This window comes from Homo sapiens, chromosome 8, assembly GCF_000001405.40.
Source record: "Homo sapiens chromosome 8, GRCh38.p14 Primary Assembly".
In the NCBI taxonomy this organism is placed as follows: domain Eukaryota; kingdom Metazoa; phylum Chordata; class Mammalia; order Primates; family Hominidae; genus Homo; species Homo sapiens.
The window spans coordinates 128,149,323-128,175,993 of NC_000008.11; the positions used below are offsets into that span (position 1 = coordinate 128,149,323).

General features: G+C 43.0%; 1 long non-coding RNA gene and 1 other non-coding gene across 2 annotated transcripts in view, besides 1 other annotated feature; both read left to right on the top strand.

Annotated features, from left to right (window-relative positions):
- Positions 1–793: 793 nt before the first annotated feature.
- On the top strand, positions 794–866 carry MIR1208 (microRNA 1208). Its single transcript, NR_031613.1, has one exon. It is a non-coding gene; the product is annotated as a microRNA 1208 (primary transcript).
- Positions 867–1,601: 735 nt separating this feature from the next.
- The window catches only part of LOC124902020 (uncharacterized), a 35,839-nt gene continuing 10,769 nt past the window's right edge, over positions 1,602–26,671 (top strand). The window contains exons 1-4 of the long non-coding RNA XR_007061107.1: positions 1,602–1,880; positions 3,355–3,495; positions 3,702–4,932; positions 5,845–6,097. This is a non-coding gene — a long non-coding RNA (uncharacterized LOC124902020). The remainder of the gene's footprint in view (positions 1,881–3,354; positions 3,496–3,701; positions 4,933–5,844; positions 6,098–26,671) is intronic.
- Positions 17,848–19,047: an enhancer, noted in NCBI's record as "CDK7 strongly-dependent group 2 enhancer chr8:129179416-129180615 (GRCh37/hg19 assembly coordinates)". NCBI's record gives its function as "activates an origin of replication core promoter dependent on BRD2, BRD4, P300/CBP, MED14 and CDK7 cofactors, with strong dependence on CDK7, by STARR-seq in HCT116 cells {active_cell/tissue: HCT116}" and the evidence as "EXISTENCE:reporter gene assay evidence [ECO:0000049][PMID:35650434]".

Genomic DNA, 26,671 nt, shown 5'->3' on the forward strand with positions numbered 1-26,671 from the left:
AGCAGAGAAAACTGCATGAGGCTTGAGTTTCAGCTGAAGCTTGGCATGTCTGGAGAAAGAAAAAGTTTGCATATTTTTACTTAATTGTGTTCAAAGAAAAATACATGTGATAATCTTGGTTTGATGTACAAGTGGTATGAATGCACAGATTACTCCTAAAAGAATTTTTCTTTATGTGTATATATGTTACTAATTTTACCTATCACACTTTGGGAAAACTAATCACTTTTAGGCCCATACTAGAGAACTTATGGATAATTCTGGAGACTTGAATATCTACCAGCCTCAGTAACTGTCTTTCTAGAACAGCACTGGATAAGTCCTGCCTTAGTCTTCCTTTTATCCTAGACTACAAATATTCTCTTCATGTTGATCCACTTTATCTTCAGTTTGACATACCTTAGACTTTTAAACAATCCATTCACATAGCAAGCTTCATGCAATGTCATCCAAAAAGATTTCTAATTTCTATAAAGTTTTGGCCCTTCTTCCTGTCTTTGGTGAGATTCCTTCACCCCTAAGGACCTCTGCAATGTTATAAATATTCACCATTTATTATATATATATTTTTTCTCTAGCTGTTTCCAAGTTCCTACTCTGGGAGCAAGCCGTACCCAGCACTTCCTCTTCTCCCTCCCTGTGTCCCACTGCCACTGAGTGAAGCCACACTCGGTCCGACTGGCGGATCTTTCTACCCTCCCTTCCCTCTAAATATCCTTTGGCCTCAAATGCTAATTGAAGAGCTCAGAAAGAGGACATTAAGAAGGGGGCTTTCTGGTGGGCAACAATGAATCACCGGCAGAATCACTGTTCAGACAGGCGGAGACGGGTCTTTCTCGCCCTCTGATGAGTCACCACTGTGGTGGGGGGGAGTGGACAGTCAGCCAGACAGATAATGTGTCAGTCTCTCTCCTCAGCCTGACCCTGGACATCAAAATAGACTGCGGTTCCCTCCTTCTGGGCCCATTGCTGGCATTTGACCTAATGCTATAGAAATTTAAACCAACAAGGAGGGTAGTAAAGTTAAGCTTTCTAGGCCATTGAGCTGAAGTTTTAATATTGTAACAGAGATTCTTAAGACAGGCTTGTCACCCTGGCCAGTGACTACCCAAGTAATGTCTTGCTGACCCAGGCCATCCTCTCCACCGATATAAATGCTCTGTGCTTCATCTCAATGTTCTCATCGTTGAGGTCTCGTTTCATTTGACAGTGAAAAATGCAGACCAGATGAAAACCACTTTCTACAAGGCAAACAATAACAACAGCTTCTGTGAATTAAACATCTACTGTGCCAGGCACTTGGCAAACATCATCTCATTTAATTCTCACACCTTCTCAAGTAGGTATGGCTCACTCTACGATACAGACCATGAAACTGAGGCTCAGAAAGTTGCAGCCATTTCCCCCACGTGTTCACGGGTAGGAAAGGGTAAAACTGACTATAGAATAAGGTGATTATAGAACTTATCATCCAAAACAGGGCACTTTTGAAAGTAAAAGGGAGAACTAGTAATAATTTCACAGCCACAGATGCAAAGGGGAAATGTCCCAGCAAGCCAGAATATAAAAATGCCTGAGTTTTGAACCAGTCTTTTTGGCTCTACAGCCCAGCCCATTCACCCAATTGGTTGTCAGGAAGGTAACAGGAGAAATTTGTAATCAGCTCCCCTCATTCTCTTATGATTTTTTTGCTTGCTGTTTCCTTTCCCTCTCTTTTCATTCTGAGATAGGATGAAGCCCAAACCTCTGTGCTTTCAAGCAGCCCTGTGGACGATTCTGATGTGCTGCCAGGCATGAGTACTCCTGACGATATGATCTTTGAGGACAGGCATTTGTTCTTATTCATCATTGTATCCTAATAAGTAACATATGGGCATGCAGTAAGTGCTTAATAAATCTTCATTCAATGAATGAGTATGTTATTGAATGAATGCAATGATGTGCAGAAGCAAGCAGGGAGGAGTATCACTGTGTGTCTGAGGAATATAAATGAGTTTGGGGCATCCATATAAAGAGAAATGAGAAAGAGGAAACAGTGGACACATCTGCCAGGCTGAGCTTCAATTTCATCATTAAGGCAGAGCCACCAGTCTCTGAGTAGGAAAGTGACACAGTCTGATTTGCATTTTGGAAAGAACATTTGTGTGGTTGTGTTCCAGGTTAAGCCTATGAGAAATTAGACACTGAAGGTATTTAAAACATGTTTTCAAAAGGGCTACTGAGTGCCTAGCATAATATAACCTTTTACATATTTGAACAATTTCCAAGCTGGGGCTAGCACCACCCCTGCTGGGAGTCAGAATCTGGACACTCTCTGGACCGTAATTGCTCACCTTGTTGGGACACCTAAGAGCCACTCTTTCGGGGGAATGTTTTCTGTCTGTTTGTTTTCTGGCTTCTTCCCCAATATTAGCGGTTCTACCATGGGGTGGCTGGGTGGGTGGAAGGGACCCACGACATTCAGGAAAGTGAGGAGCAGTTTCTGTGATTATAGCAGACCCATTCACTGGAATTTTTCCTGACATCTCTCCATGACCTTTATGCCTCCAAGGGCCTGGACACAATGCAGCAGCTCTCCAGCTGGGACAGGGCACATGAGGGGGTATCATACATGAGTGTTCCCCCAAGTGGGGCTGTGGCCACTGCAGAGCAGCCCAGGGGACCTTGCTGTGCACAGCCCTATGTCCTGGGGTTTCCCGCAAAGCTTTGCCCTGTCTGGTGAGACGGCTGCCAGACAGTATGAGATGAAAGACACCGTTCACACTTAATGGTGACTGGAATGTGCGCCATGTAAACCAGATGATGTGGAGACCAATTTATAACCACTTCACAGTTCAATGATGAATGGTGGGTCCCTTGTACTGACTCTTTAACTAGCTCCCTTCAAGGAACAGGCGGCTTCCGAGATTGTCTTAAAGCAGTGTGGGATGTCCAGGCCCTGCCCAGGTCCTATCTTTTCTTCCAGCACCATCCACCTCCCTGAAATCTTCTCATAGCACCTGGTCCTCACCTCGTTCTTCTCGTTGAATTCTGTTTCCTCCTTGGTGTCTACCTTGCTACATTCATTCCACAGGCATCTCTGTTCTATTAGGCAGTCCTTTCTGTAAGCATTTCCCATGGATATTATAACCTAACCTTCAAGCTTTGTCAACACTTATCAGCAGAATTCTGCTTGTATCTTGGGCCAGAATGAGTCACAGCACATCCCTGGATGCAGAGAAGGGTAGGAACTCTGATACTTGGCTTCTCAGTTTCCATACAAGAGGTAGCAATGGAGAAGAGTGTTGGGAGAAGATTTTAGTAGGGAATCAACAGTGTTAACTCCACACCTACCATTGTCATTCTATTTTACAGATTAAAAAACGAAGTCACATGGAAGATAAATAACATGCTCAACATCACCCAGCCAGAAGTGGTGGAGACATGGCCAACATCACAGGGGACAACTCCTGAGCCTGTGCTAGGAACAGCCAGTCTTCCTGAATTCATGATAAAGTAAGAGGTAGAACCGTGGCCAATTGTCTTTGGGAGAAAGTGGGATCAAGGACAACTCCAGGATTCTGCCTGAGATGGGACACACTAGAGCATTACTTGGGAATGTAAATAATAATATCAAATTATTGAATGATTTCCATGGGCTACTCTCTTCATATACCAGTTCTAATTCTGATAAGCTTGTATCATTATCTTCTTTTTAAAAGGCATGAAAACAGAGGCTCACAGAGATCATATTATTTTCCCCAAGTTGCAATGATGGTAAACACAGATGACAGCTGGACATCAACTAGGTCTGGGTGGCTTCCAACTCCAGTGACTCAATGCTGCTCCACACGGCCTTCTTACAAGGAAAAATGAGAACAGGCCGCGGGCCGGCTTCTGTAAATCGCGTGTTGTTGGAATTCCTGTCCTTCCTTGACCCAGATTTGTAAACAGAGGCTGTGGAAGCCAAGGTACACATGGGCAGATGCAAACGAGCCGTCTGCTGAGGAGAAAGTCGAATGTGCTCGGGGTGGGTGCGCGTCTGCCTGAAGCACGTGTCCCTGAGGCCTCCTGCTGTCTCCCCAGCCGGCTGACGGGCCCGGTGGTCTGCAGATGGCCACGAAGTGTCTCCGGGCTGTCCAGCTGCAGCCTGGGCGGGCTGGCGGTTTTTTTTTTTTGTGGGGGGAGTGATTCTGAGGGTGCTGGGTGGCCGCTGACAGAGCTTCCTTCTGCTACTTTTAGGCTTGTTGCTGAGCCTTTTTAAAGGGAAGGGGTGGAAATAAGCAAAGATATTTGCTGTGACCTGGAACTGAAATGCCTCACTTTAAAAACAGCTATCATTTACTCACTCATCCAAGAAATACAGGTTGAGCCCCTTCAGAACAACAGGTCCTGTCCTCAGTGCAGCGGATGCAGCAGGGATGCATACAGAGTACCTGTCCTCAGGGAACTTGCAGTTTATTGGATGGAGACAGACAACCCATAATGATTTGTATAAATGTCTAATATATGCTATAGAAAGAGAAGCAGCAAAGTAAAGGGGTGAAGGATGAAAAGGCCAGGGGATATTTTTCTGATGAAGTGACATTTGAGCAGATACCCAAACAAAGCAAAGCAGTGGGCCCAGCAGATATCTGAGGCCAGGATGGTCTCTGGCAAAGGGAACAGCGAATTCATAAGCCCTGAGCAAGGCGAGCCTTCAAGGGTGTAGGCCTTCTTCAGATGTTTAAAGAGCACCGTGCTTGGGGAGGGTCTGGAAGCCGCAGCCTGGGAACAAGTGAGAGAACTGAGGTGTTTAGGGCAGAAAAGGGAAGTCTTGTGAGTAGCAGGCAGCTTTCCTCATGTAAAGGGTTCAAATGTGGAAGAAGGATAAGACTTTTTATTACATAATGCCAGAAGTTGTAACCAAAGACCAGACCAGCTGATGGAAGTTGCTGGAGGCTGTTTGCAAAGGTATGTTGAATAATGCCCTAAGCATTGGCTCTAAAGAGAAGGAACCCGATATTAGTGTAGTAGGGCTGCCATAATAAAATATTATAGACTGGAGGCCTCACACAACAGAAATATTTTCCCACAGTTCTGGAAGCTGGAAGTCTGAGATAAAGGTGTTGGCAGTGTTGGTTTCTTCTGAGGCCTCTTTCCTTGGCTTGTGGGTTACCATCTTCTCTGTATGCCTTCACATGGTCCTTTGTAGGACCATCTGTGTCCTAATCTCCTCTTTTTTTTTTATTTTATTTTTTGAGTTGGAGACTCGCTCTGTTGCCCAGGCTGGAGTGCAATGGTGCAATCTCCACTCACTGCAACCTCCGCCTGCAGGGTTCAAGCAATTCTCTGGCCTCAGCCTCTGGAGTAGCTGGGGCTACAGGCATGAGCCACAATGCCTGGCTAATTTTTTGTATTTTTTTAGTAGAGATGGGGTTTCACCATGCTGGCCAGGCTGGTCTCGAACTCCTGACCTCATGATCCACCTTGCTCGACCTCCCAAAGTGTTGGGATTACAGGCTTGAGCCACCGCACCCGGCCCTAATCTCCTTTTCTTATAAGGACACCAGTCATATGGGATTAGAGCCCACTCACATGACCTCATTTTTACGTAGTTACCTCTTTAAAGGCCTTATCTCCAAACAGAGTCACATTCTGAAGTACTGGGGGTTAGGGCTTCAACATCTTAATTGTAAAGAGGGGACACAGTTTAGCTCATAACAAACTTTTCCTCACAATTTAAATTTATTGAAGAAGCTGAGTTGTTTGTTCTGCACTGAGTTATTCATTCTGTCTGGATTTCTCAGATTGCCTCTCTGTGGTTCACTGTTTTCCTGGTAAATGGTACTTAGATCCTTGATTGAATTTAAGTTTGATTTTCAGGCAAGAATACTACATCAGGTGGTGGTGTATACTTCCATCCAGAGGCAAATGATATCTTCTTGTCTCTCTGTAATACACAAAACAATTTTCAACCAGAAATGTAGATGAGTGAGGATTCTGACGTACCTAGAATATTTGGATGACTGCTGCTTGAATGGATGGCCTTGAGACACCTGAAGACCCTGATGTGCCTTCTGAATCATACCACGATTCAATTACATCCATCATTTAACAACAACAACAACTCTAGAAGGTACTTATTTTGTAGATGTCATTACATTCGTGTACGAGACTGGAGTCTGGAACAGAACCCCCGACTAACCTGTCATGCAGAAGGACAAACATAAACAGGCTTCGGGGTGTGAAGGAAATGTTCCAACAGCTGGGTTTGGCTCCTGACCCTGACCCGCCACATACTAGAATGTGATCCTAGCCAAGCGACCTAAAACTTTGAGTCCATATTCCTTATTGGTGAAATGTGTATTACACTTCTCTCTTCAAAATTTGCTTCTGGTGTCACCTCCCCCAGGTAACCTCCTCCTACTCTTCTCCCAGCCTTGCCTGACAGCTCATCCCTGGGATGTCCCTCTCACCGAATGCTCACCTCCAGCATGCACATAGCTTCCCTTTTGCTATTTATCCGTGTGTCTCCTCCTCAAACTAGGAGTTCCTTCGGGTTCAGTACTGTGTCCTCAAAATGGTTTTCAAGACAGTTGCTTGTTCATGGTAGCTGCTCAAACAATAATTTAATGACTAAAAGCGTTGCTCCCAAGTAGTGTTCTAAATCTAAAAATCCCAGGAAGCTTATTTTTATTTTTATTTTTATTTTTTGAGATGGAGTCTTGCTCTGTTACCAGGCTGGAGTGGAGTGGCACGATCTTGGCTCACTGTAACCTCCGCCTCCCGGATTCAAGCGATTCTCCTGCCTCAGCCTCCTGAGTAGCTGGAACTACGGGCGCATACCACCACCCCTGGCTAATTTTTTGTATTTTTAGTAGAGACGGGGTTTCACCGTGTTGGTCAAGATGTCTCGATCTCCTGACCTCGTGATCCGCCTGTCTTGGCCTTCCAAAGTGCTGGGATTACAGGCGTGAGCCACCGTGCCCGGCCAGCTCTTCAGCAATTACTGATATCCCAGGGCGCAACACTAGAGCTCTCCAGGTGATTCTAATATATAGCCAGAGTTGAGAACCACTGTGGTAGGGCAGTGGTTCTTAAAGTGTGGTCCTTAGACCAGTGCATTGGCATCTACCTGGGAATTTGTTAGAAGTGCAACTCTTGAGTCCCACTCCAGACCTACCCAATCAGAATTCTGGGTCTCGGGCTCAGCTACATCTGTTTAATAAGTCCTCCAGCTGATTCTGATGCAGGCTAATGTTTGAGAAACCTTGTTCTAGGGCAGGAACCAGCAATTATTTTTCTGTAAAGCGCCAGATAGTAAATATTTATGCTTTGTAAATCACTCGGTCTTTGTGACAACTACTGAAGTCCGCTGTTACAGCAGGAAAGCAGCCATAGATGATATGTAAATATATGGATTTTTTTTTTTTGTTCCAATAAAACTTTCTTTACAAGAACAGAGCCTAGGCCGGGTGCGGTGCTCACGCCTGTAATCCCAGCTCTCAGGGAGGCTAAGAGGCGGGAGGATAGCTTGAGCCCAGGAGTTCGAGACCTGCCTGGGCAATATAGCGAGACCCCGTTCTCCAGAAAAAGGAAAAAAAAAAACCAAAAAAAAAATAAACAAAAGACAAAAAACAGAGCCTAGGCCCAGACCTTGGTTTGCCGATCACTGTTCTAGGAGATGGAATTGGTCGGTCGTTGTTATGTAACAAGTCACCATGTAAGTGGCTTCCTATCCACTAATTTGAACCATTTATTCTTACTGAAACATCTGTGGTTAGCTGATGTAGCCTAGGTTTGCCTGAGGGGAAGAAGTGGGGAAATACGCCCCACCTTTAGGGATAACTATAAGTCACATGGCAAAGAATGTAAAAAAGGGAAAAATGAAAGATGAAGAACTGAAATCAATAATTCATTCTATACCAGGGAGTAAGTGAAATAACACACTAAAAGTGCCCAGAAGTATCTGAGCATATGATCCATGCCTTGTGAATGCTGGCTATTGTTATTATTATAATTATTAATTATTATTCTTTATTTTGTATAATTCAAGGCTAGAAATTGGATGCAACTGTCCATTCTTTTGGGAAGGCTGTTTCAGACATCCTCAGTGATGAGTGTCACTTATCATTAGCACTTGTGACAACAGGTGTACAGAGTTGTCCGTGCTAGCAGCCTGCTGTTGACAGAACAATTTGTTCTCAGTGCTGTGTGCTGTTTATTCAGAGGAGGCCCCAGGACAGGCTTGTCATGTCATGATCAGTTGCTGCTGAGAAACAGGCAAATCATTTCTGATAGCTGATGTTCAGTAGGGATGGGGAACTTAGATCCTGGTTTGAAAGAAGAAATGACTTGTTTGGAGCTCAAGTAACTGGATATTCTTAATTAAGGAGAGTATATTTTTGGTATGCCTTAGGGAAAAGAGGCACATGAAGAGGATGCAAATTGGCCTTAGAGATTTATTAGTAATGATTAACTTGGCAATGTATGTCCTGGGCTCAGTACAACTTCCATCATCCCGGCTCCTTCACTGTGGTTCCCATGTGCTCTGTGTAGACCCCTTGTGTCCGAATCACCTGGGGGATTAGCAACACATACTCATTTCTGGGGTCTAACTCTAGAGTTTCTGACTTGGGAGTGTGAGGCGAGATGCTGGTTGTAAAATTTTTCTGTGCCGGGCGTGGTGGCTCACGCTTGTAATCCCAGCGCTTTGGGAGGCCGAAGAGGACAGATCACGAGGTCAGGAGTTCGAGACTACCCTGGCCAAAAAAGTGAAACCCTGTCTCTACTAAAAATACAAAAATTAGCTGGACGTGGTGGTGGGTGCCTATAATCCCAGCTACTTGGGAGGCTGAGGCAGGAGAATCACTTGAACTCAGGAGGCGGAGGTTGCAGTGTGCCGAGATTGAACCACTGGGTGACAGAGCTAGACTCCATCTCAAAATAAAATAAAATAAAAATAAATAAAAGCTTTTGGTACTTGTGATGAACCATCCTTAAGGATGGCACTGATCTCCCCATTTGTACACTTACATATATTTACACAATTTTACAGAAACTGAAATTCAAACTCACAGCGGATCAGAACTAGAGAGCTCTGACTTCCAAACTCTCAAAGGGTGAGGGCCATGTCTTATTCATCCTTGTATCCCTGGCAAGGTATCCTGAAGGAGTACCATATTGAACCCAGTGTTTACAGGGCCTTCGTTTCATGGGATTGGAGTTGGAACCCAGAATGGCAAAGTGATTCACCCACAGGTGTGCCCCTGATGCAACTTAGGATTCTCTGAGTCCTCTACTGTCTCCTGCCCCTTGGAGTCTGGCCCTTCCAAGCTTCTCCTCGGGAAGGAAACTCCTGTGTATAAAACCCTCTGACATGTTAGACCTTGTGGTAGGTGATTTAAACCTGCGATTTCATTTTATTCTTCAAAAAATAAAATCTGTCAAATTGGGATTATGAATTCCACTTTATGAAAGAGAAAATGTGCTGAAAGTCAGATGGCCAATGAGTGGTGGAGGCTGAATTCAAATTGAGGTTTGTTTGATGTATGTAGTGACTGAAACGGAGCATGAGGCGGTGCTCCTGGGGGCCTGGTAATGTCCTGATTCTTGATCTGGATGTGGGCACCTCAGGAGAGAATTTCAGTGTGTAAAAATTTATCACCATACACTTTGGCTTCCTGCACTCGTCTATGGGTGTTTCTCTTCAGTGACAAGGTACAAAAACAAATCCATGTGTGTCTGGTTTGCAAAATCATGCTCTCCATTATCTCCTCTTGCTTTTTAAAAATAAGAGCTTAGTTCCTTCCCAACCAAGTTTTGGGACAGCTCCATGTGAAGTTACACAATGTGTAAAGGAACAGTCTGAGCTAGAACCCAGGTCTTTTTCTTCCTCAACCAATATCAACTGATACTCTTTTTTTCCCCACTAGTCACCTCTGGGGAAGCCCCAGCAGATGCCTCGATGTGAGTGTTTCTGGGATAGTACAGAAGACCATTTTACACAAGACTAAGAGGCTTTCATTATAGGCCAGGAGCAGTGGCTCACGTCTGTAATCCCAGCACTTTGGGAGGCTGAGGCGGGTGGATCACTTGAGGTCTGGAGTTCGAGACCAGCCTGGCCAACATGGTGAAACCCTGTCTCTAGTAAAAATACAAAAAATTACCTGGGGGTGGTGGCATGCACCTGCAATCCCAGCTACTGGGAAGGCTGAGGCAGGAGAATCACCTGAACCCGGGAGGCAGAGGTTGTAGTGAGCCAACATCATGCCACTGCACTCTAGCCTGCGTGGCAGTGCAAGACCCTGTCTCAAAAAAAAAAAAAAAAAAGCTTTCATTATAATTGACACCTATATCCCTATGTCTTTTAATCCCAGGGTTTTCTTAAAACAAACAGCGTTATTTAAGTGTGTATATTTTATACTTAAATTGAAAGTGTGTAGTTTGGTAAGTTTTGACATATGTCTACATCCATGAAATTAAGATAATGAACATGCCAATCACCCCCAGAATTTTCTTTTGCCCCTTTATAATCTCTTCTTCCAGGCTGTCCCTATTAACCTTCCTGTCCCCTCACCCCCAAGGCACCAATGTTCTGCTTTCTGTCACTGTGATATTAGTGATATTAGTTGTCACTTCCTAGAATTTTATATACAAAGAATTAACCATCATATACTCTTTAGCATGTGATTTCTTTCACTCTGCGTAATTATTTTGCAATTCATCCATGTTGTAGCATGTATCAATCATTCATTCCTTTTTGTTGCTCTGTGGTATTCCATTGTATGTATGTACCATGATTTGCAGATCCATTTGTCTGTTGTTGGATATATGGATTGTTTCCAGTTTTTGGTTATCTCAAACAAAGTTGCTATGAGCCTTCTTGTACAAATTTTTGTTGGACATATGCTTTCATTTGTGAAAATACCCTAAAGTAGAGTGGCTGGAACATGTGGTAGGTGGATGTGTAACTATTTAAGAAGCTGCCAAGCTGTTTTCCGAAGTGGTTGTACCATTTTACATTTCCACTCACAGTGTAGGAGAGTTACAGTTTCTCTACACCCTTGCCAATGCTGAATATGGTTAGTCTTTCCCATGTTAGCTATTCTAATAGGTATGTAGTGCAGACTTCTGCAGTTCTTTGGGCAGCTCTTTTCTGTCTCGTTCCGGGGTCTGTGAGCTCCAGCTACATTGTTCTACTTGGACTCACCTTTGTCTCCCCAACTCAGCCTGCCTGCTGGGCTCTGCCTAGATCCCACTCCCTGTGCTGAGACCTGGAAAAATTCTCGAGGTGGTCATCTGGGGCAATCATAGGACTCACCTGAGCTAGAACCCCCAGCCTTTGCCTTTCCAGTCAACATTCTTTATATTTCCATACCATGCCTCAGGTATGTGTTATTGTCCTTTGTTGCCTGACGTCAAGTGTTTTCCAAACTATTGTTCATATTTTGTCCATTTTTTTTTTGTTAGGTGAAAAGGCAGATCTCATCCCTGTTACTCCAATTTGGCCAGAAGTAGAAGTTTCCTCTACTTCCAGGGTTTTCAAATCTCTCAGGCTCTCAGTGGAGATGACTCCAGTTTCCCTACTGCACAAAGGTATCCATGACTCACAAACTTTTAGAGCCCTTTGTATGCAATGAGAGTTCAAAGCTTATACTAAGTGATTATACTCTTAGGATGAAATGCAAGCATCCACCTGTGGGTATGCTAATTCTTGCCCAATCTGGTTTATGAAAACGAACAAATAAACAAAAAAAAACAGAAGCAGCTCATGAATTTAACAAAGGCAGCTAACACTAATGATTAAGTAAAGCTGTATTGGGTACCACTTTTTTTTCCCAGATGTTGTATTAGACTATGAAGATCTAAACATGAATAATGACTGTATTCAGTGAGCTCATATTCCACTGGCTATAAAAATTCATGGATAAGTAATTACAATCTAGTTTTAGAAGTATAAGGATTTGAGTAGGTGTTAGGGTGGTTCTGTGGACTAAGAGCTGAGCAATCTGCTCAGTGCGGTCAGTCAGAGACCCTAACTGATGGTGCTTATGCTATCTACCTCCCAAAGGTGGCTCTGGAGACCACCCTGGTATCTATCCCAGTGACCTAGAAGGAATAGAACATGAAGGAGGTCACCCAAGGGAGGTTTATAAGGGCCAGGTCAGGAAGTGGTGCCTATCTCATCTGCTCCTTTCCCACTGGGTAGAGCCCAGCCATGTGACCACACCTAACTACAAGGAAGAAGGGGAAATGTAGTCAATCTCTGTGCCCAGGAGCAAGAGGAAACAGATTTCAGTAACCTGTTCACAGAGTCTGTCAGATTATGGATTTCTCTAATGTTAGTTTGAAAAATTTACTTTTTTCTAAGCTATTTGTTGCAGTGAATCTTACACAGCATTTGATGGGGGGGGAACCATCACTGTCATGTGCATTTGACATTGGCATGTGGCATTTCTGAACTCAGAGGTGTGAGGAAGGGAGCAAGCGGAGTATAACCCTGTGTCCAGCTGAGCTGCAGGAGTAGGAATGTGGGGCACACCTGTTTCCCACCTTTTACAGCCATCCGGAATTAGAAGCTTGCCACAAAGGAAGAGTGAGGACCTTTAGTGACGTGGCATTGAAGCCTCATCAGGGCAAAGTAACAAAACCAGAGTCCAGAGAGACAGCAGTCCCCAAATCAGCCCTGTGCTTCAGTATATGACAGAGGCAAAGCAGTTATATAGTTATCCCAAACTCTGACTTTAGGTCATTTTTGGGTCTTGTCTATCTAGCATGTCAAACTAACATGTTATAGATGAACTTTGGAGTAAGGTAGACCTGGGTTTGAAATCCAGATCCCCAGTTGCTAAACTCAGGAGGTTACTTGACCCCTCTCTGTATCTTGCTGTTATTATTATTATTATTTTTTGAGATGGAGTCTCACTCTGTCACCCCGGCTGGCGTGTAGTAGCGCGATCTTGGCTCACTGCAACCTCTGTCTCCCAGGGTTCAAGCGATTCTCCCTGTCTCAGACTCCCGAGTAGCTGGGATTACAGGCACCTGCCACCAAGCCCAGCTAATTTTTGTATTTTTTAGTAGAGACGGGTTTCACCATGTTGGCCAGGCTGGTCTTGAACTCCTGACCTCAGGTGATCTGCCCCCCTTGGCCTCCCAAAGTGTTGGGATTACAGGCATGAGCCAACACGCCCGGTCTGAATCTTGATATTCTTATTTGTAAAATGGAACTAACAAAATGCCTATTCATCACACTGTTGCATGAATGAAATATGTTTATACTCAGAAGATACTTGGTATAGTGCCTGGCACATGCTAAGCTTTCACTCCATGACAGCAATTACTGTCAGTAAATTGGGAATTATAATTCCTGTCTTGCAGAGGTTTATGAGGATCAGTGGGAGAATGTCACAGAGCCTGATCACAGAGCAGGCATTCAATAAATAGTTGTAATTATTATGGCAGTATCACTGGCCACATACACCAGCAAGGCCTAAGATGCCCCAGGGGACACTCGGAGTAGGACCCAGAGATGGTGTTCACATATGGTATGTTGGTGGCTGATTCGTGGTGAGGAGCAGAGAAGACAGTTATTAATATCAAAAGGAAGAAATGAATTGAAGTGTCTTTCAATGGTGACTAGTACACAGCTGAGGTCCCAGGAGGTCTAGAATGGTCCTAGCCATTTCCTCAATCAAAGTTACTCAGCTTACTATATTTTCAGGTTGTCTTCTCAAAGACCAGTGCAGTGGATTTTCTTCTTCATCTTCCCATCAGCTTCCTCCAACTTGTGTTATTCTTCTGGGCCTAGCATCCTGTCACCGGCACTATTGTCACTGGAAGTAGTTCCCTGCATTGTCTGGCTCTTTATCCTCATAAAAATCCTATGCTTGTCACTCCATATCCAGCTGAAATGCTACTGCCTTTTTGAAATCCTTCTTGGTACTCCTGCAGATACAGTCCATTGCCATATCCCACGGTGATTTAGACATAGCCTTGTTGTGATACTCACCACCTTATATTAAAGTCATTTGTTTATGTGCCTGTCTCCCCAATAAGCTAGTGGCCCTGCCACTTTAACTGCAGAGTTCCTCGTCCTAGCTTGATGCATTCATGCATTAGGTGCTCACTCACTGTGTGTTAAAGACATTTGTGGAATGTTCCCATTGCACCTGGAGCAAGAGAGTGAACAAGAGTGGTCACGACACCATGTCCAGGCAATATCAGGTCCTCCTATCCTTACCTCCAAAATATACTCTACTCCACTCTCTTCTTCCCATATGTATCACTCTCACTCTGTTTCAATCAATTCATTCTCCATCATCTCACACCTCCACTCATTCTTTTCTCTACAGCAGCCAGACCTTCTTCATAAGTATACATTATGTACTTCTTGAGTTAAACCCTCCAATTGTCAACATATCATACTTGGAATGACATCCCAACATCTTACTGTTTCTCATAAAGCTGAGCACTCTCTGACTTTCTGACCTCTCCAGCCACGGAGGTTTCCTTTCCCTTCATCTAACACACCAAGCTCTTTCCTCCCCTTGCTCTTGGCAAGGCTGGCTCCTCCTTGCCATTCAAGTCTCAGCTCGGATGTTGCCTTTTCAGAGAGGCTGTCCTTGATTACCTAATCTAAAGTCATACCACACTTTCTCACCTCACCCTTTTATATTTTTTTCAACATTTGACAATATATGACTTCATCTTGTTCATTTCCCTGTTGACTTGTTTATCACCTATCTCCTCCACTTGAATCAAAGTTCATTCTGCAAGAGACCTTATTTTAATCATGGTTGTATTGCCATGGTGTCTAGAACAATGTCCGGCACACAGTATATACTGAATTAGTGTAGGTACTTTTTTAAGGATTTTATCATTCTACATTTCTTTACATTAGGATCTCGGGTAGAACTGTATGTCTTAGGGGCTCAAAGGCTGAGTAGATGCTAGGCTTCCAAGCCAAAATGCAGAGTATTGAATTCTGCTAATGCAAGAGTTATTTTTTGAATTATCAACAGCTTTAAGTCCCATAAAAACAGTGCATGAATGAACAAGCAATAACTACACCAGACAAATGTTCTAATCTTGTATGAGTTGTGTTCTAGCAGAAAATGGCTCCTTCAATGTACTGAGAATACATTTTTCCCTGAGCACTGGTCTTTGGGGACAATTTGCAGAAGGCAAACTAGTAAAGAGACAAAACCAGTGTGGCAGCTTGACTCTGTGGTTATGTTTCAGCAGAGTGAGAAGTGAGGCTCATTGGTGCACTGAAACTGACTCATTGGTTCATAAGAGCCTATTATGCTCACATCTTCCCAGCTCCTCATGTCGCTAACATGAAATGAACATGGTGAAAGTGTTTATGTCCTGGAAACTGGCAGTGTTACAAATCAGGGCTTTGAAGAAATTGTGTGTGCGTGCGTATGTGTGTGTGTGTGTTTGAAGTGCTGTTTCACTAGTACACAATTACAAATCTTCATTGTGTTTTGGTCCTGGGGAATGGGAAAGAATGAGGGGGCAGTGGATGGCTGGGCAGGACTCAGGATTTCTAGGTGCTGTGGTGACTGACAATATTAGCTAAAGTGCTTTATACACACACATAAGCACCCAAGCACCTATTACCTAAGAGTAATTGCAGCATTTTATTCTGAAGCAAATGCTTGGCTGTCATTCTGATTAAGCCACTAAGAGGTTGTTTCTGCAGAGGCAGGCTGGGTGACAGTTCTGTAGGGCTTATAAAGAAATGAAGCTTAGACTTTTTCAAGGAGTTGGTAATCCCTCTGGCTCCAGGATGATTTTTTTCCCCCACTTCAGACGCAGAATATAGAGGTTTGACAATTTTTATCCCTGTGATTGTGACAGATTGTAGTAGAAAAAGCACTGGAGGGGGAGTCAGGCATCCTACAAAACACCTGGATGACATTGGACAAGTCAGTTAATTTTTCTTAGCCTCTGCTTTAGTATCTATAAAATAGAAAACATGATCTGACCTGAGAACTCATTGAATAAAGATGAAGATTTTGCAAACAGGCATGGAGCCCATTGGGATGCCCATAAAACATTAAGATATGAAATAGTGAGGGGTGTGACTGAGACTCCTGGAGAGTATAAGAGAGATACTGAGAAAGTCTTTGAGGAAGCTGGAACATAGACAGATATCAAACTGGTCTCTATAAATCTTGGTGAAGTCTCTGATAGATCACAGGCTTATCAAACAAGTTAATTCCTGCTATTTGTTGCTATAAAATAAACCACCCCAACCTTAGTGGTATAAAACAACACCCATATATTATGCTCACAGATTCTTCAGGATTCCATGGATTTGAACAAAGCACAGCAAGAATAGCCTGTCTGTGCTGCAGGCTATCTGGGGCTTCAGCTAGGAAGACTTGAATGGCTGGGGATTGTTCAAATAACTGAGGGGTGGGATTTCTCTACTAGGTTAACTGGAAGCCAGAAATCAATTGGAACTGGCTACCAGGTGCCTACAGATGGCCCTTAGATGTAGCTTGAGCTTGCTTCAAGCATGGTGGCTTCAAGATGGTCATACTTCCCACATGGCTGTTTAGAGCTCCAAAATGAAGTGTTCCAGCAAACAAGGCAGAAGAACATGACCTTTTATCACCCAGCTTTAAAAGTCACACAGTGTCATTTATGTTCTACTCTATTAGTCAAAGCTATCCTAAACCTGCCCAGATTCGAGGAGAGGGAATATAGACTCCGCTTCTCCATGGGAAGACAGTTTAAGAATTTGCAGCCATTGTTTTAAAATCAATGAGCTAAAAGTCTTCTTGAAATAATAGGAGTTATTAATAAAAGTAAGTTGTGTGCAAAAAGTAATAATAAAAATAATGACAATGATACAATGATAGCTCACACTGTAGTGTTTATGTATGCTAGGAACTGTTTTATATACTTTAATTTACCCAATCCTCATAGTAATCCTAAAAGATAGAAGCATGGAGAGGTGAAGTCACTTGGTCAAACTCACACTGTGAGTGATTGACAGAGTAGGAATAGCAGCAACTAACGTGTATCAGGCACTTACCACGTGCAGGCACTCTGCCACACACTTTTCATGGATTGTCTTACTTAATTCTCAAAAGAATCCCATAATGTAGGTATATTATTTCTACTACCTTATGGGTGAGAAAACTGAGGCCCAGTGAGTTTAAATCATACAGTTAGGAAGAATTTAATTCTCAACACTGCCTTCCCCCAAAGCCTTGTGCTCAGCATGTATGCAACGTAAGAACCCACAAAGGAGAGCAAGTGAAGGGCCTGGGAGCAATGCTGCTGGGGCTGCTGGTGGAGCAGGGTTTAGACAGAGGAGTTCAGTGCTTTGATGGAAATGAAGGAGGAGAGTATTCTGAGATGAGATGATAATAACTCTATGTCTCTGACTGTGTGTTGTGTGTGTGAAAAAGAAATCTCAACTCAATCTAGCACATGTTGATGATGCTCATCTGGTGTGTCCATCCTTGTTCCAGTCTCCATGACGAAGGCAGAGGAGCATCGTCCAGGGGATACCTGACCTGCACCTACTCATCCCTTCACAGGGCTCAGCATGTTTGTATTTCTGTACATTCTCCTGTTGAATCTTCTAGAGTCTCAAGGTTTGGCTATTAGCATCTTCATTTTACAGACAAGGAAATGGAAGCCTGGAGATGCAAGATGAGCAATATGAAGTTAATATGAAGTTACTCAATATGAAGATCAGAGCTCAGGCAAGACAGACCTTCGTCGTTGTGCCACTCCAACCCCCTCATGAGATCCAAAGAGATGAGATGATTTGCTCCAAGTCAGCACAGACAGAGGCAGACTATGCACCAGAACCCAGGTTTCTTGATTCCAGCTGTTCATTCATCTCACTCATCATTTCAAACACATCTAGATTGCAACCTGCTTTTGGAGGCCTTCCCACCCCTCGATAGACCAGAGAAGTTAAACATTTCTATAACAGGGAAGCATCTTCCAAGCTCTTGTTGTTACTCTTATTACCCTCTATTGCCATGTATTTCTTATTCCTATGTGGCAATGAGGACAGGAGTTGAGTAGGTGCAGGTCAGGTCTCCTCTGGACGATGCTCCTCTGCCTTCTTCATGGGGACTAAAACCAGGATGGACACACCAGGTGAGCATCTTAAACACTTACTGGATTGAGTTGAATTTTCTTTTAAACACTGCATCCTAATATCTCCACAGAACCCAAGAATAGAAGGTGCTTAGCAAATATTGGCTAAATGAATGATAGGATGAATCCATAAGTAAACAGACTAGGGTAAACAAATCTGGTCGAACAAAAGGGAACTGAGGGGGTTATCTTTGAAATATGACTCAGAGTCAGAGAGGCAGAGAGAAGAGCAAGAACATTCCTGATGGGGACCACTTCAGGAGCAAAGGCCAAAGGCCACATGGGGCTCCTGATATGGGCATCCTAGAACAAAACTGCAGCCATTTGCATCTTAGTTTGAAACGAGGCTGGAGATGGAAGCAGGGAGCCACAACGGGTCTCAGAAATGTCAGATAGCATGGGCACTGTTCTACTTGTATCTGGGGCTGCTGCTGGTTTAGCTTCCTCTTTGATCTGGAAGTCACCATGCTGAATCATGCCTCAGTCACTGGCAGCCTGGATTCCCCTTCATAAGCACTGGTATTCTAGAACCGCCCCCCCCCACCCTTTAAAAGCAGACACCTCAGCTGCAATTCCCTGCTTAATTAAGGAGTGAGTCAGGGTGGTGGCTTAAGACACAATTTCCACTGTGCTCCATGCTCCCTTCCTCTTCTCTCCCTCCAATGTTATTTCAAGCACATAAACTCACAAGGCTTTGTGAGGAGTGGAAAGAATGTGGGCTCTGAGCTACCAGACCTCCTGGAAAATCCCAGCTCTGTAGTTCACTAGCTATGGGACCCTGAGCAGAGACCACATCTACTCTGGGTCTCAGTTTCCTCAACATAATGTAGGGTTGTTGTGAGAATGGAATGGTGTTAAACATAAAGGACTTTGCAGAAAATTTGGGGTACAGTGATGTGCAGTAAGGACTAAGAGTGCCTTTGGTTTGGGTCTGTGTGCCCTCATTCTTACCCTTCAAGATGTAGATGGCAGGGTCATTTTGATAGAGGTCTCCAGCAGATTCTGGGAACGGTTTTCTCTTTCCTTCTTCCTGGTTGGCTATTGTGGATCATTCCTGCAAAATTACTTTCTGTGGTTCTCCAGGGCTGGAGGGCATAGCTCAATTGCTCTTGAAACTAAACCCTTTCACAACTTCCTGGGCAGCTGCCAGACCCTGGTGCTAGCAGGACTACATGGGCCAGGTTTCTGCTTTGAGGATTTTACTGAATTGTACAGACACACAGTCTCAGGTCTTTTTTCTTATCAACTCTTTGGTGACATGAACAGGCACCAGAGTAAGGTCTCTTTACTGAATGCTCCTGCTCAGAGTTGGTGAATCTGTGGAATTTGTTTTTGCTTCCTGAGTTTTGGGTGGGCCTTCAGACTCGGCTGTAGGACTCGCCGACCAGAGGCCCCCAGATTCTTGTGTGGAGTGCCTACTCTTCCTTCCTCACTCCATTCCTCACCTAATGTAATTTCCTTGGATTCAGACAAGTGCTAGTGGTTTCCTGCCTCTAGTACACCCAGCCTGCCCCAGACTGGGCATGCACTGAGTGTGTGCACTCTTTTTATGAGTATCCTCTGCTCACTCCATTCAAAACTGTCCTGTTTTGTACCTCATCTGCTTGGAGATCCTCTTCTAGCCTTGGCCTTGCTGTTCTTAGGTGTTAATGAGTAAATATATGCTATCTTTCTCAGTAGGCATAATGAACCACTCTCCCTCCACCAAAATAGCTATAACACAGGGCGCTGAGGCACTGAACTGAGAGTCATAAAACTCTCATTCCCAGCCCCACTACTCAGCAGTTTTATAATCTTGGGCAAATCACTTATTGTCTCTGAGCCACAAGTGTTCATATTTGGAAGGGTGGGGCTAATGCTAATTGCCCTATTTCTCCCCACCTACCTCCCCACAGTTCCATTTACTGTGAGAATCAAATAAGATAATGCCTGTGAAAGTACTCTGTAAGCCAGAAGCTGTTATTATACAGAGGCTACCTATTATTATTAAGAACTGGTTTTCCTGATTCTTCCAGCTCCCCGATCCTCTCCATCCCCTGAGCTGGCTCGAGGCTGGAGATCTGTAGAAGCACACCTTTGGGGCCAGAGCCTAGAAATCATTCTGCTTTGCCTACCAAGGAATCTTCTTAATTCCTCTTATTTAAACATGTGGATTCAAAGAAGAAGAGTTGAAAAAGTCTGACACCAAAATATTTCTTTGTTTGGCTTTTTAAAATCCTAGTGCAAGCTACCATGTTAAGACCCACACCAAACCCAGACAGAAAACCCTGTTCATGCAGATGCTCTAGGTTTACATCCAGAATGAATGTGCTTGGCTGACACTGCTCCTAATGGTTTCCCCAATCTGACCACTTTCTGGGTCCCATTGCCACTCTCTTTTTGAAGTCACTACTATTTTCCAGAAGCCTCTCCCTCCAGGCTTCTCTCTTCATCCATTCTTATACCCATATGAGCTCTCTAAATGCTTGTCTCTTCATATTACTTCTTTGCTTAAGCCTCCACACCATGAGTCCACATTCTCCTCACAGTAAAGTGCACTTGCTGTAAAAGGGGCTCCTGATGAGCTTTATGGACTTGCTCCATGACTTCTCACCCCTCTGTGCTTGATCCTTAAGTAATTCTGTTCACCAGACACCTTGTTCTCTGTTCTACCTCTTCTTCCTGTAGGGCCCGGCTTAGATATCACTCACTTATGAAGCCTACTTGAACTCCCCTTGACAAAGTGAGGAGCCCTGCAAATTGTTTCCATAGCATCCCTCTTTTCGCCTATAGTACCCTTCTCATCCTTGATCATTGTCATGTGTTAAGATCTGTCTTCTCCAGGAAGCTGAAGCTCCATGAGGGCAGACACTATAATTGTCTTGCCCATTCATTTCATAGTCATGGCACCTAGCCCAGTGCCCAGCCATGAACAAATGAATGGCACGGGTAAGTCAATGTTTAAGATTTTTGCTCTGGAAGCCAGGCCACTTAAACACTTCATGGAAAAACACAGATGAACTCATTTTAGAGACGGATGAACACATTATGGAACCAAGTATGCAACCCTTAATTTTCTTCTCCTAAACCTCTCAGCACATGCCAACTAGCTAATGTTGCCTAACATTTATTGAGTGCTTCACTTGTACTAGGCATAGTAATGAGCATTTTACATAAGTCAACTCCGTCAACCTTCACAGCCATACTCAGAAGTGAGTGTTATTATCCTGCAGCCACTGATGAGACACTGTGGTTCAGAGAGTCTGAATCACTTGCTTAAGTTTGCCCAGACAGCAAGTGAAGGTTTACTATTGACCTGTGTCTGTTCTCCTCTAAAATCCATGCTTTTAATCACTGGACCAAACTGCATGGGCTTGGGCACCAGAAATGTACAGGTTTAAGTTCCCAAGACTTACTAGCTGTGTTCATTGAAAAAAGTTAGGTTTCCTTCTTGTGCCTCATTCTTTATTAAGTGTCTGTGAACGAAGCGAAATAATGTTGTAGAGCACTCGGTATTTAGTAAGTTCCCAACTTTCATTGCAAGTCAGTAAGTTAGAGATAGAGCTTAGATGCTTAAAGTTCAGGCAGTCCTAAGAATTAAGACCGATTGCTTTCTTCTTTAACATCCCTGCACAGTGGGGAGGTTAGCATATAATTGAGCTTCTTGCATCCTGTGGCATTTATCACTCCTTGAGGCACATTAATCTGTCCTTTGACAATTGAGTCTGTGAGAAAATGTTTTTCATCAGAAGTCTGCTGCCTTCTTGTCCTACTTGCTCAGAGCCTTTGGAGAAAGTCTAGTCACTGTGTCACCAACACCTTCCTGGCCATCTGAGGGCAGCTGTCATGCCACCACTTCAGCCTATGGACTCTCACTTTTCCAGAGAGGAGGATGCCAGTTTTTCCACGTTTTTTTTTTTTCTCATGGAATGAGTCTTAAACTCCCATCATCCACCCAATTACTAGTTTAGAACAAACTCCAATGTATCTACATTGTCTTAACCTATAATGGCTAAGACAAAGACTTAGCAACAAGGATTTTCACTGCAGTATTGATTACATTGTGAACAAATGTCCAGCAACAGAGAACTGGCTGAACAGATTACTGCTTATCCGTATGAACTAATGGCCTTCAAGAATGACTATGGGAATGAACATTTATTGATCTAAAAGATGGTTACAATGTAATAGTAAATGTAAAAACCAGGTTATAAAATAGAATGTAATGCATGATCTCCAATTTTGAATAATAGTATTCATTTATATATGGAAGAGAAATCTGAAAGTGTTTAAAAGAGTAAAAGTGTTTATCTCAGGGTCACGAGATTATGAGGGATTTTCTTGTTCTAAATTTTCTATTAAGGGAGGAAGTAATAACTTGGTGGTTATGAAAATGGACTTCAAAATCGGACAGACTTGGTTTTAGTCTATTTTCTGCCACTTAGCTTCATCACCTGAGTTTCATAATTTGTAAAGTAAGGCATATAATAGAGTTTGCTTTAGTATTGTTGAGAGAGCGATAAAACTAGCTTTGTTTTTGGAGTGCTTGCTATGGGCTAGGCACTTTGTGAAGCAATTTACATGCATGCTTTTTATCATTATTCCCATTCACTATATGAGAATGAGGCTCAGGGAGGCTAAGGAACTTGTCCCAGTGCTACATTCAAGGGGATGGTGACTTTCCCTCTTCTTAGTACTTGAGTTATTTCAATGTTGTTAAAGTGGAAATCTGTTTTCCTGTCATCCACATCTCCCTGCTGACTCATTCTGGAACCACTTTGACTAAAACCCCCAGATATTTTCATACTGGCCATGTCTCCTCTATTCTCCGGTTGTGCTTTGTCTTATTTTTTTGGACTTAAGTGAACTTATTATTGAGCAGACAGGTGGATGACTATGAGGAAGTCCGAGAATAAGCTTGTAATTTGTCAGTAAAAAGTTGCTGATTAAATTCTACTATAATTTGGCAGTGAAAAGTTGCCAATCACACTGTAGAGCCACAGGGGTAGTAAAATGCATGAGCTTTGCATTTTCCTTTTTTTTTTGCTCATCTGGAAAGAGTGAGTGCTTCTGATGGAAGAATGAATAGGGGAAGGTGCCAGGATGGATCCAGCAAGGATGTCATTGGCCAGGGCTCCCAGGAGAAGCTGGAGGATGGAGTCCTTGGAACATAATGCGGGGCACATTTGTAAGAGTGGGAGCCAGACCCCTGGCAGACCAGGAGTCTAATTCCTGCTCTTACTCACCTGCTATGTGGCCCTGAGCACCTCACTAAATTCTCTGAACTTCATTTTCTTATCCTCAAAATGTGATAGGGACTTGGCTGAGTTGATTTCAGCACATCCATATGAACAAATGCTAAGCAGCCATCAAGAATGACTACAGGAATGAAATTCATTTACTTAAAAAGATGGTTATGATGTACTGGTAAATGCAAAAAGCAGGCTGTAAAATAGAAGGACATGTAAAGCACTCATTTATAGATGAAAGAAAATCTGAAAATCAGTGATATGACTTGGATGTTCAGCTTTCTGTAGCCAGTAGCACTTATTTTGTGGGAATTTTAGGAGGATGAAAATGAGATTGTGTAAGGAAATGGCTCAGACAGTGCTGGGATCAGTTTTAGTCTCATCTCTTCCCTGTGAGCCCTTCACTCCCTACTGAGTGACCTGATAAATGTTAAAGAACAAGAGAACAAATTCATGTACCAAGGGGCTCCATGACAAAGGTGGGAAAATTACAGAGTTAGAAACATAAGGGAGCTGGCCCAAACTCATCCTATGTTCTCATTTTAATAAATTTATTACTATTTTTAAATTTCCAACCTGTCCATGATACAAAAAAATCAAATTATACAGCAACACTTAGAGAAAATAGTAAAAATTCCTCTTTATTACTCTTCTAATCTCTTTTGTCTCTCCAAAGACAACCAAGGGTGAAGGGCTCTCTGTGTATCTTTCTAGACATTTTATTAGGGATTTGAAACATGCATGTTCAAATGTACAGACTTCCTCACCAACACTATGAATGGTCCATGACTTGAATGTTCGTGACACTTTTGTGATGAAAATAAAATGCTGGCTAGAGAGAAGAGTCGAATGGGTGCCACAATCTTAATTGTTTTTCCATGACTTTTTGGCCTGGGTTGGATATTAACAAATTCAGATGCCTACTGAATTTAGAAATGGCAGGAATCCTCTTGACATTCTAACATTTCCATATGGCTAAAGCTTTTAGCTCTAGTTATTATACTTCTGCTTTGGAAGACAGTTCCTCAAACCAGATCTCTCTCCTGAAGGACTTGTCTCCTTTAGCCAGAATGATCCTTCCCCATTCAAGGAGAAAAGGGCACAGGCCCAGGAGGAAATATGTGCCTGAATGACAAATTGCATGAGTCAAAGACATTTATGAAAATGACAAACACTATTTCAGAGGAGGAAGGCAGTTGCTTCTGCTTTCTTTTTTCTTTTGAGAATGGGTGGAAGGCCTTCAGAGATGGTGCTGAACACAGCACTTTGCAATGAGTAACATTTCAGGGATAATATTAGCATTAATGCTCCTTTGATTCCTCAGTTTTGGAGAATATTAGTAATTGGGGCCAATCCAAAGCACTGAGTGGATTATTGAGGCACAGCAAAAGCTACAAGGATTTTCATTGCATAGATTCTTTACCTCCCTGCCTTAAGACATTTATTGTGATATGCGATTCTAACAAAAGTCAGAGACACAATGCCTTACACCAAATAGGCACCTAATTGCTATTGATTGATTTACCTCAATTGTCAGCATTCTTGCAGACCATTCATTTATTCATCTGCCCATTAATCAAAATGTATTGAGGTAATACTATCTGCCAGGCACTGCGTTCTTTGTATCAGTGTGGGCACAAAAGAGGAAGTGAACAGTTATCCTCAAGGCTGTGGCAAGGACAGGCTTTCAGAGGAGAAGACATCTGAGAAAGGTTTCAAAATAGGAATAGGAATTTGTTAGGCAAATGTGGGGGGATGGCATTTCATAAACCATAAACGGGGGAACAGAGTTAACAAATGTAGGAAATATAGGAGGAGGGGCAAGATTGTGAGGTTGAAAGTCATGGCCCTGACTGATTGACTTGACCAAATATTCATTAGAGAAATATCACCTTTAACTCAACTCAAAACTGAGTTTCATTGAGCTGTCAATTTACTCAACAAACATTTATTCAACAACTTTTCACTGTGCTGGATGCTAGCAATATAATGCTGACAAGTTTCTAGTGGCAATTTTCCTAAAGGCTCGGTAGACACTATTAGAGCTTAACCTGACAGTGATTACCATTATACTGGACACATGTCAAAGCACACCCCTATTTAAGGGAAATCCACTGTGGGGACAACATTCTTCTGTGTGTCCTGCACAATGCAAAGGAGTTTTTTTGTTTTTTTTTTTTTGAGAGCGAGTCTTGCTGTGTCTTCAGTGGCACGATCTCAGCTCACTGCAATCTCCGCCACCTGGGTTCAAGCGATTCTCCTGCCTCAGCCTCCGAAGTAGCTGGGATTACAAGCACCCACCACCATGCCTGGCAAATTTTTGTATTTTTAGTAGAGACAGGGTTTTGCCATTTGGCCAGGCTGGTCTTGAACTCCTGACCTCAGGTGATCCACCTGCCTTGGCCTCCCAAAGTGCTGGGATTATAGGCAAGAGCCACTGCGCCTGGCCACGAAGGAGAATTTGACACACTCTTTTACTACCTTCTCAAAATACAAATCTAGATTTCAATGTGACTCATTGTTTTATCTATTGCCATATACTCTGATTAAACTCTGTCTTCTGAGAGATAACTTATAAATGCCTTTGTAGGAATCATAGCCATAGCTTTAAGTATAATCTTGGGTTCAGCTCTTTTGTCCCATGACGAAGAAGTGACTTGTCTGATGTTACATAATGAGAGTTATCAGATTGTAAAGGAGAACTAAGGCTGCTGATATCTATGACACTACATTATATTGCCTCCATGAATAAAATGTTAATGTCACCCAATCAGTTCATAACCAAAACCATAGTGGGATCGGCTCTGAGCTCACAGTTACTGTGATTCTATCTTCTGTTCCACCTACCTCTATCTCCTCCCTAATTCTAGAGTTTAAAGGGCAGTAAACTCAATTTTGAACATCCTGCCTTTGGTCTCCCTCAGTTGGCTGTCTGATCTTTTGTGCACCTGTCAGTTTTCCAAAAAGACACACTCAACCTCACCCTAGAATCTTCATTGGAAAGCCCTTTCACTTGCTACTCTATATGTCTGTTTTGGTAGACAAAACCACAAACCCAGATAGGCAATTAGGGATTAAGGGCAACAGTGGTTTGGGATTATTTCAGCTAATTGCTATCCTATGTGAAAGAGTGCATCATCTCTGACAGCTGGCATGAGTAATCGTCACTGTTTTAGCAGTAAGTTTATACCTTCTGTGTGATAGGGACTGCCAATGCTGTTTTGACTGGTTTATCATCAGAGTGGTGAATGTGAAAAGCTATTGTATGTATCCCATTGGTTGTTGTGACAATTAAATACAACAAAGCCATCACATTCTTACTATCTGCCTGTTTATAATATGCA